The sequence below is a fragment of the Homo sapiens genome, chromosome X (genome assembly GCF_000001405.40).
Source record: "Homo sapiens chromosome X, GRCh38.p14 Primary Assembly".
In the NCBI taxonomy this organism is placed as follows: domain Eukaryota; kingdom Metazoa; phylum Chordata; class Mammalia; order Primates; family Hominidae; genus Homo; species Homo sapiens.
Window position 1 is genome coordinate 140781496 of NC_000023.11, and position 11550 is coordinate 140793045.

The 11550-nt window shown below is 33.2% G+C and overlaps 1 long non-coding RNA gene across 7 annotated transcripts in view, besides 1 other annotated feature; it reads left to right on the plus strand.

Moving 5' to 3' along the window:
• LINC00632 (long intergenic non-protein coding RNA 632) overlaps nucleotides 1-9862 on the plus strand; it is an 81599-nt gene extending 71737 nt beyond the window's left edge. For 3 of the 7 annotated variants that reach the window (NR_173140.2, NR_173139.1, NR_190227.1), the window contains one exon: nucleotides 1680-5859. This is a non-coding gene — a long non-coding RNA (long intergenic non-protein coding RNA 632). Of the gene's footprint in view, nucleotides 1-1679; nucleotides 5860-9506 lie in introns of those variants that run through there. The other 4 variants (NR_173144.1, NR_173143.1, NR_173142.1 and 1 more) reach the window with 3 other exon arrangements.
• Nucleotides 1674-3171: a silencer, noted in NCBI's record as "fragment chrX:139865334-139866831 (GRCh37/hg19 assembly coordinates)". NCBI's record gives its function as "represses an EF-1alpha promoter that drives an FKBP-Casp9 reporter gene in an ReSE screen in K562 erythroleukemia cells {active_cell/tissue: K562}" and the evidence as "EXISTENCE:reporter gene assay evidence [ECO:0000049][PMID:32094911]".
• Nucleotides 9863-11550: the final 1688 nt, after the last annotated feature.

Here is an 11550-nt window from a genome sequence, read left to right on the forward strand (position 1 = left end):
TTGGGCAATTGTCCAAACAATTGCCTAGAGATCTAAATTCTTAGGTTCTTGCCAGTTTCATCTCCTATCATTACAGCACATGATATTGTTATTTACCATTCGGCTTCAATTTTCTCTGCTTGTTCTCTATGTGAGAACAAGTTCTCTTGTTCTCTGCTTGTTCTCATATGTGAATGCTAGCCTGGAATGTACTTAACTTTACCATATCCTTGATTTGGCGTTAGAGCAGGGCATAGCAAACTAAGGCCCTTGGGCCAATGCAGCCCAACCATTTTTTTTAAGTAAAGTTTTAATGCAGCACAGCCATCCCCATTCATTTACTTACTGTCTGTGACTGCACTACAATGGGAGAGTTGAGTAGTTGCAACAGAGACAATGTAACCTGTAAAGCCTTAAATATTTACTTCTGAACCTTTACAGAAAATGTTTGTTGATCCCTGATCTAAAGCCAAGCAGTTCTCTCGACCTAGATACTGCTTATTCTTTGATAATTTCCCATTCCCATCTTGTTAACCAATAAGGCCAGTTCATTGAGACTATGAAGATAGCTTCCAACCCATTCAAACTATTTGCTTTTTCTTGAATTTCCCTGCCTTCTCTTTCTCACCTTCCTAGAATGCTATTTCCTTGTGTTTTGCTTTTTAGCAGAAGAGATGAAATAGTATTAAAGACTGTAAGAGTAGTCTCATGATGTCTTTTAATTTAATATCTAGGCCCTAATACACAACTCTTTGAATATTGCTACTATCTTTCAGCATGACTTTCCAATACCATTAAGATTAAGCCTTTCTGTTCTTCAGTTTCTCTAACTCAAGTCTTCTAAGCTCCACAGCTTCCAACATCTTTAATTACCAGATCTTCCCAATATTATAACATCCGTGCATTCCAGTCCCTGTCCTGCAGCATCTCCAATGCCCTTGTTTTCTAAACTTCCCAGTATTCAAGTCATTAAAAATTTAGGTCTTCTAATATCTCCAACAACCCATCTTCAAAGTCCAGGTCTTGTCTTTCAGAATCCAGAGTTCTAAATTACAAGTCTTCCATGGTCCTAATCCTCCAATGTCTCCTATATACAGGTCTTCTAGAGGCTATGTATTTCATAGTGTTTAAGTCTAGATTCTTCAATGTCTTCCAGCACTTACATCATTCAGTTTTTACATTTTTAAATGTCTCCTACTTTCTAGTTTTACAGTGTATTTTTATCGCCAATTCCTCCAATGCCCAAGTCTTTAAATACCTGCAAGAACTTTCAGGTACATCAATATCCTCAATGTCTGAATGAATAGACCTCTTAATATCCTGGTCTCATATTGTCCAGGCTGCCAGTATTCTTGACATCCAGCATCTTTAAAATTTAATTCTTCCAAACTGTCTTTTTGACATAAATATGTCAATATCCATGCTTACCAATGTCTCCCAATATCCAGGGCTTCTCATTTTAGGATTTATAAATGTCTACATCTGCTGTTGTTTATATCTGCCAGTATTTAGGAGTTCCAAGGTACAGGACTTACAATATCTCTAATTTCCAGAGATTTCAGTGTCTATGACTTCCAATATTCAATATCCCAATGTTCAGGGCCTCCAGAAATATCAATGTCCAGAGTAACCAATGTCTTCAAAATCCAAGGCTTGCAATGTCTCCAATATCCTGTGCTTACAATGTTTCCAATGTCCAGGGTTTCCGATGGCACCTGTGTCAAGGTCTTCCAACAACTCCGGGTCTTCCAGCGACTTCAAGTCTTCCAATAATCTCAAGGTCTTCCAGATAATCCTGAGCTTCCAGAAAATCCACATCTTCCAGACAATCCATGTCTTCCGGACAATCCATGTCTTCCAAGAAGCTCCAAGTCTTCCAGTAAATCAAGTCTTCCAGCAAATCCAGTCTTCCAGCAATTACTGGTCTTCCACCAAATCCAGATCTTCCAGGAAAATCCACGTCTTCCAGGAAATCCATGTCTTCCAATAATTTCAAGGTCTTCCATCAAATACAGATCTTCCAGCTAATCCATGTCTTCCAGAAAAATCTGTGTCTTCCACCAAATCCAAGTCTTCCAGTAAATCTAGTTCTTCCAGAAAAATCTAGATCTTCCAGTCAATCAGTGTCTTCCAGAAAGAAATCCAGGTCTTCCAGTCAATCAGTGTCTTCCAGAAAGAAATCCAGGTCTTCCAGTCAGTCAGTGTCTTCCAGAAAAATCTACGTCTTCCACCAAATCCAGGTCTTCCAGTCAATCCACATCTTCCGGAAAAAATCCAGGTCTTCCAGCCAATATATGTCTTCCTGAAGATCCACGTCTTCCAGAAAATCCATGTCTTCCAGAAAATCCATGTCTTCCAGTAACCTCCCAGTCTTCCAGAAAATCCACGTCTTCCCAACAATCCAAGTCTTCCGGATAATTTGGGTCTTCCTGAAAATCTACGTCTTCCAAAAAAGCCATGTCTTCCAGAAAATCCACATCTTCCAATGGCCTCCAGGTCTTCCAGACTATCCATGTCTTCCAGAAAATCCTTGTCTTCCCTTAAATCTATAGCTTCCAAAAAATCCGGGTCTTCCAGGAAATCCGTGTCTTCCAGCAAGTCCACGTCTTCCAACAAAGCCATGTCTTCCAGACTATCCATGTCTTCCAGAAAATCCTTGTCTTCCCTCAAATCCATAGCTTCCGAAAAATCCAGGTCTTCCAGGAAATCCGTGTCTTCCAGCAAATCCACGTCTTCCAACAAAGCCATGTCTTCCATCAAATTAATGTCTTCCAGCCTACTTGTGTCTTCCAACAAAGGTACGTCTTCCAACAAAGGTACGTCTTCCAACAAAGGTATGTCTTCCAACAAAGGTACGTCTTCCAGAAAATCCACGTCTTCCAACCAAGCCATGTCTTCCAGAAAATCCACGTCTTCCAGAAAATATATGTCTTCCAACTAAGCTACGTCTTCCAACAAATCCATGTCTTCCTATATCTCCAGGTCTTCCAGCATCTCCAGGGCTTCCAGCATCTGCTCGTCTTCCAACATCTCCACGTCTTCCAGCATCTCTGTGTCTTCCAGCATCTTCATGTCTTCCAACAACTACCCAGTCTTCCATCAACTGGCTCAATATCCATGTCTTCCAACGTCTCCAGTGTGCTGATCTTCTGACATTCAGGTCTTCCAGTGTCTGCAATATCCAGGTATTCTAACATGTTCTATAGTCCAGATCTTCCAGCCTTTCCCCAGGTCCAGGCCTTTTCAAATCTAGGCTTCCCCTGTCTGAGCCTTCCCATGTTAAAATCACTCTACAGAAAAATCTTCCAACTCAACTATTTCTGCTTCTAGTTGAATTAGCTTCAAAAACATTTAATGGGACATTCCTCCTTATAGACCAGATCTTATGAACCAACAGTACTGCAGTTTGTGTTTTTTACTATTAGGAAATGTGTGTTTAATCCCTACAACTTTTAAAAGTAATGTCCATAATAAAACTTCTGCAGAATAAACAGATAGGACTGCTGCAATAAATTTTACTACTTCACTAGTGCTTACGGTTTTTATACAGTTTACTATGTTTAGGTCTAAGTGAAATTTTTATTTAATGAGAAAAATTCCTGTTTAAGACTGGTATTTTAGGTAAAGTTAACATGTAGAGTATTATTTGTCCATTTTAAATGATATTAATTTTTATCATTGGTCTTACATGACCAAAGAATAATAATAATATAATAATAATAATAATAATAATAACAACAACAACACTTAACATAGCATTTGCTACATCCAGGCACTGTTCTCAGATCCTTACATGCATTAACTCATTTAATCTATTTAATCTTCACAACAACCCATTGAAGCTAGGTACCATCATTATCCCTATTTTACAGATGAGGAAACTGGCACACAGAGGTGAAGTAAATTTTGTCCACAGGACACAACTACTAAATAATGGAGCCAGATTTAAACCCGGCTAGCCTGTTGTGAGAGTCCATGATTGTAACCACTATGCTATAATATCTGCTGTTTAAAATCATGATAGAATGATGTGATCCAAAGGTTGATTGCTTCCACATTTTGTGTAGAATATTATACAATCCCGTATACAAATGGTCTCGCTTGATCCTGTCACTGCCAGAGTCTGTTTGTATGCACAGCTTTTATTCCCCAACCAGCTACTACCATTCCCTTGGACCTGTATATGGAAGTAGGTGCAAACACTTTCTGATACCATTTTCAGTTTTGGCAGGAAGAATATAAGGAAGCACTGAGTTCAATTACCCTTTGCTTCAGAATCATATTCATAGCTCCATGCTTCGAGTACTGGTGCTTGGAATTTAACTCTTCTATCTATTTGAATCCCCTTTTACTGACTTTTGTCCAGTTTGCACCTTACTATGTGGAGCACTTACCATTAGTTTGTTTCTAACCTCCAGCATCTACCTGCTTCAAATATCGCAACCTCCTGGGTTCCTGGCCACTGCCTTGTATCCGACTAATGGTAGCTGCAACTCCTTAAATCCCAGCATGCTGATCTGGAGAACCAAGTAGTTGGTTCTCTAAGTCTCAGCTCCCACCAGGTGCCTTCAGCAATGTTGCTACCCATGCTTCTGGCTGGCATGAAAAGCATGAAAACCACATAATTAAATTTTTACAGTTAGGCAGGGACTCTCTAAAGATTTAAAATCCTCTATGTGATAACAAAAAGGAACAATGATAATGCCAATTAAAATAGAAATACCTTCTGAATGTCTAATGATTTATACTTTACAAAGTGCTGTCACCTCATTCATTCAACAAATATTTATTGAGCGCTAACTGTATGCCAGGCATGTTTTGATAAAGCTTAAAATCGTCTGTGGGAAACAACATACAGATAATTGGAAAATTATTTATCAATTGTTAAGGCCATGAAGAAAAAGTAACTGAGAGTCTGGAAAATCAAGGAAAGCATTCCTAAAGAAGTAATATTTATTGTGACTCTGAAGAATCTATATTGTCATTTGGTTCTCACAATATAGCCTTGTGACTTAAATAAAACAGATTTTTTGTATATCAGTTTTACTAATCTGAGTGCTAACAATAGCCATGGGACCCAGCTGTTTTGACCTCTTTATTTTCCCTGCTACTCATTTTGCCTTAAAATATATATGAAGTACTATTTGAAAATTTATATCAAGGGATATAAAAATGTACTTTTTGGTTTAGTATATTCCACTTCAAGGAATCTGTCCAAGGAAATTATCTAAAATGTGGATAATTCACACACAAAGATACTCCTCACATAGTTATTTGGTATAGTGAAAAACAGAAAAACCTTAGTCTAACATTCAGGGAATGATTAAGTAAATGTGCCATGTACCTATGATGGAATATTCTTCCATTAAAATGCTATGGCATATTCATTTTATAAGTTAAGTGAAAAATCATCAGCATACAAGGTTACATAAAGTGTGATGGCAACTATTTTAAAATATATAATCAGTGACAAATGACTAGAAGTAAATGTATTGGGGACTGTAAACTAATTATTACTGGATGGGTTGCATTATGTATGATTTTATTTTCTTCTATATATTCTTTTAAGTTCTTACAATGTACAGGTATTTTCTATTCAGGAAAAATATTTAAACAATTGTGCACAAAACTATTCATCTTTTTTCTTGTACATGGAATCAAGCTTTACTGTTGGAAACACTTCAAAATATATGTTAGCAAAGTGAAAAAAAACAAATTCTCAAATAATTTCAGTATCTAGAGATAATCACTGTAAGGATTTTCGTGTATGCTCTTGTAGGCACTTTTACTAGCATATTTTCTTGTACAAAATGTAATCATACTGCAATTTAACCTATTTCTTTCTTACACTTAATAAATTGTGAACAACTTTCTATGTCAGTAACTGTGCAGCTATGTAATAATTTTAATATATAATTTACTTACTCCATCTCCTATTGGTGAGCATTAAGTTCCTTCCAATTTTCTTGTATTATAAAAACTTCTGTGATCAGCACATACTTTATGTAAGGTGTGAAGAACACAAACTGTGTCATTCTACGTGGTGTTCCTGTACATATTTGTGTGCAGATGTGTTTGGGTATTACTTAGGATAAATTTCTAAAAGGAGAGTTGCTGAGCCAAACAAGACCATGTGCATCATAATGTTCATCACAGCAAAAAAATTACAAGCAATCATGTGTCTAACAGTTGGGGTGGTTAGAAAATTATATTGTAACTATCTAATGGAATACTGTGTGGTCATTTAAATTTATATCATGGAAGAATATTTACCAAAATGGGAATATGTTCATAAGGTATCATCAGTGAGAGAAATAGGTCACAAAAAATACGTATAATATTCATGTTTCATAGAAGGAAAACTAAATACCTTCGGGAAAATAACTAGAAGATACACACTAAAATGTTGTTAGTAGTAAAAGTCCCAAAAAGAAAATGGATAAATCATGGTATATTTCACGTAAAATATTATATAGTCATTATATGAATGTTCTACAGCTACACATAACAATATGGGTAGATTTTACTTCTAGAATATTAAGATATCAAGTCTCAAAAGACTACATATAGTAGGATATCCTTTTTATATTATTCAAAAACAGGTAAAACTAAGCACTATATTATTTAGGGCTACATACACATAGCATACAAATAATTTATTAAAAAGCAAAAAAAAAATTGAAGATGATGGTCACTGGGGTTGAGGAAATAGGGTCAGAATATGGGAGGACAATGTACATGAATTCATATTATGGTTAACATTCTAGTACTCGTGTGTTGGGTAGTGGTTGGTGTCATTATGTAATTGAAATCCCATTATTATTTAATAATTTTATGATTATTATTAACATTAAATAAAAAGGCAAGTTAATGAGTAAAAATAAAAGAGGGCCTTGCATGAATCAATGAGACACTGTGCACAATCTAAGGATTATTAATCCCTTTCTGTACATTTGTCTTTCATTATTTTTTAAAGTAATTTATCTGTGGGTAGTAAGACTACATGGGATTTTTATTCTCTTTTGGTTCTTTGCTCTCGAAATGTTCTATTTTGAACATGTGTTATTTTCAAAATTAAAATATATTTAAACTTTATGTTAATGTGTTTTTATTGATATAGGAAAATACAATATTATATTTATTGAAAAACAAGCTCAAAATTACATAGCGCATGATCCAAAATATGTTGAAAATACATAACAGGGAGTGAAAAGAAAAGTGTTGATATGTTAACAATAGTTGCTTCTGTGTAGTCAGATTTCAAATCACTTTTTTTCTGTTTCCATATATACACATATATGTGTATATATGTATATTCCATATATACACATATATGTATCTATATTCCATATATACACATATATGTATATATGTATATTCCATATATGCATATTCCATATATATACACATATATACACATATATGTGTATATATATATATGTGTGTGTGTGTGTGTGTGTTTTATAGGGTGGGCTTATTTTTTGTTATAAAAGTAATATATGTTTATAGTAAAAAGTAAAAAAAAGCAGTAGTGTATAAAGTAAAAAGTGAAAATATCCTTCTCCTAATCCTATCTATCTCCCAGAGATAGCCATGACTCTTTGTTTTGTTACCTTCCTCATACTTTTTTTATTTACTTGAATGTATTCTCATGTGTTTTAGAAAATGAAAATACGTAACGGAGTGAGAAGAAAAGTGTTGATATGTTATTATTAACATTAAATGTTATAATAATAGAATAATAATATTATTAACATTAAATTAACATCCTATACATATATTCTACAACTTGCTTTTTTCCTGCTCTGTAGAAAGTCATTTTATAAAACAGCTACAGGAAATTTCAGAGTAGGGTGTACTGTATTATTTATTCAATTCTTTCCACATTAGATCTTTAGGTTGTTAACAGTTTGTAGCTATTATAGATAATGCTATATAAAGCATCTTTACAATCTATTATTTATTTAATTCTTTCCACATGATCTTTTGGTTGTTAACAGTTTGTTGCTAATATAGATAATGATATATAAAGCATCTTTACAATTTTTTTGCACTTTTACAAGGATTTTAAAGAGCTAGTACCTGAGAAATAAAATTTCTGGATCAACATGTTTGAGCTAAATTGCCCTCCTGGCATGCTGAATGCTATTATTTTTGACTTTTGTCAGTATTTTGGATGGAAAATCTAATCTCATTCCTTTAAATTATTTTTCTCTAATAATTTGTAAAGTTAAGCAACTTTTCATACATTTACTAGCTATTTTTATTTCTTCTTTAAGAAATTGCTTGTTTGTATCCTTTACCTATTCTTTTGTTGTGTCATTTGTCTTTTTTTATTATTAATTTGTAGATCTCTGGATATTGGAGCTGATATCCTTTTGTCTGGTGTATATTGCAAATGTTTATCATTTGTCTTTTAAATTTATTCATGGTGCTATTTACTATAAAGAAGATTTAATTATGTAAATAGACAAACATTTTAATCTTTTATAGTTTCTTGTTTTTGTTTCATATTTAGATAGGCTTCTGCACTCCCAAGATTAAAAAAGTATTCTCCTATATATTCTTCTAATCAAAAAATATATTTTTTGAGATATCGTCTTTCTGTGTTGTCCACACTGGTCTTGAACTCTTGGGCCAAAGAGATCTTCTTGCCTCAGCCTCCCGAGTAGCTGGGACTACAGGTGTGGGCCAGTGTGCCTGGTTCTTCCAATATTTTGTACGTTCTTATTGCTTAGTACTCTATGTAGAATTGGCTTTTCTTTTATAAGTGTTTCTATGGTACAAAGTAGGAATCTAAGCTTATTTTTTTTCAGAAGAGAGAGTCAGTTTTTTTCAACTTACTTATTCAATTGAATTATTTCCATACTGATTTGGAATTCTCTTTTTATCATGAACTATATGGGTATATTTTTTTGTTTCTTTTCTGTTCAACTGATAATATTTCTCTAGTACTGAGCTAGTACCTCACTGCTTTAATTACTGTAGCATTATGTTTTGACATATGATGGGACTGCTTCCCCTACATTATTATTTTTTTCAGAATTTTTCGCTATTCTTGTGCATCCCATTTTTCCAGATTAATTTTAAAATTAACTCATGAATGCCCATAAAAAATTAATCCCTTGGAAATGCTTCAGACCTTTGAGTAACATGTCAAGAACTGCCATCTTTATGATAGTGGGTTTTGCATCTAGTAACGAGGGATCTGTCTCAATTTATTTAAATTTACTGTAGTCTCCATTTAGATATTAAAAGAATTGTTAGGCTTATTTGTTTATAGTTTTAATTCCTCTTACGTGAATGATATTGCATTTTAAAAATTCATTATCATTAGTGCATAGAAAAGCTATTTAATATTTATCTTGTATCCAGGTATCATATTGAACTCTATTCCTAGCTCTAACAGTAGTTTTTATTTTCATTTGATTATCTTGATTTCTTAGATACACAATCATGCCATTTGTAAATAATAAAACATTTGTCTTTTCCTTGCTAATGTTTGTATCTATTTTTTTTTCTTTTAGCACATTGGTAAAGACTTTATAACTTCCAGGACAATGCAGATTGATGTTGATTAATAAAGAGCAGGCAACCTTCTGTTTTTGGCTCTAATAGAAATGCCTCATTGTTTAACTATTATAATTGCCATTGTTTCTGATAAATGCCCCTTTTCAAGTTATGGAAATGCCCTTCTGTTCTTGATTGACTTATAATTTTATCAGGGATGGATAAAGAATGTTATCAAGATGCCTCTTCTGGCATCTGACAAGCTGATATCCAGGTGATGATATGGTTATTCTCTCTAATCCATTAATGTAGTTAATTACATAATGTTGAGCTATTCTTAGATTCCTGGAATAAAACTGATTTGGTAATGGTGTTTTGGTATGTCATTATTTTATTTAGGATATAAAACTCTATATTAACAAATGCCTATAGAAGTGCCCTATTACCTCTTTCACATCATGGCACCCTGGGGTAAATAGACAAGATTGCTCAGGGCAAAGGCAACTTGGCTTCACAGGATCTGCCTGGTTGACCCAACGTCTTAGGAGATAAAGATTACAGTACACATACAACCCATTCACAGGACACCAGTGTGCTGAGGTACACTTGTTGGGAAACTCTTATTTATTGTTTTCCTTTCTGCGATACCCCTTTCCTGATTTGATATTAGGATTATGATATTTTTGTGAATAAAGATTTTTCTTTTTCCACAATGTAAATAACTTAGACACAAGTTGTTCCTTAAACAATTGGTAACACTCACCAATATAACTGTTTTGTCCTAGTACATGCTTGGGGCCTAGAAATTTAAATCTTTCCACTTCTTGTATGATTATTTTATCCAAGATTTTCTCCTCTTCTGGAGTCAATTTTGTCAAAACTGTCCATTTCATCTGGATTTTCAAATGTATTGATTGGAAATTACACATAATACTTCCTAATGTGCCTTAATTTGCATATATGTGGCTATATGCTTTTTTATTTTCTCTGGTACGACTTTCCTTAGATTTGTATATTTTATTTTCAGTTATCTATTTTTTTAAAATACCAAGTGTTTTCAAATATCACTTTCTGCTTTTGTAAATTCCTTCTTGTTACATTCTTTAGTTCTGTTTGATCTCTTTCTAGATTCTCTAGGTAATGTTTAGTTTACTTTTAATTCTTTCTTTTCTGTTTAGTGCATTTAAGTTAAGTTAAAAAATTTCCTCTAAATACATGTTTGATTGTACCCCATAGTTTTCAGCATTTTCATGTTTGTTTGTTTGTTTGTTTGTCACCTCATATTTAAAGCTTTGTTTTCCTGTTTAATTCAAGAGTTATTTAGAAGTGTATATATTTCAGTGTGGTTAGGTTTTAGTTGATGTTTTGCTTCCTATCCCCTTTTCCCTTAATTACTACTTATACTATCTCATGGATGGAGAATGTTTCTTGCATGAGTTATACCTCTTGGAATATTTTCTTCGTATTCTATATGAAATTTTTATAAATATTCCATGAACAATTGGAGAAAATATATATTTTTTGTTGGGGTAAATATTATATCATGCTTCTACAAATTAAGTCAAATTAGTTCATTGTTATTCAAATTTTCTATTTTTGTCTGATTTATCTAAATTTTCTAATAAAAATATATAAAATGTCTCACTTCATGGTTTTATTACAGTCTCCTATTTCTAACTTTTTTGGCTTGACATATTTGAAATTGCTTTTCAGGGTTTTTTTAATGATTATCTTATTGGATTGTATTAGTTCACAATGTATATTAATTCAAAAAGATACCTTCCTTGATTTATTTAATGATTTTTGTTTTGACTCTTCTATGCTACCTCTACTTTATCTTTGTTACCATTTGCCTACTATATTCATACCAGTATTTTCAGCTTTTCTCTGTTGTTTTGGTTTGGGTATATCTTTTCAAGACTGCATGTGATGAGTTTTTTTACTCGATCTCGCAATGTCTGCCTTAATATTTCACAATTAAACCTTTCATATTTATTATAATTTGGTAATATTCATTAATTTTTCTGTCTTTTTAAAGTCTTGATAGATTTGTCAAAGTAT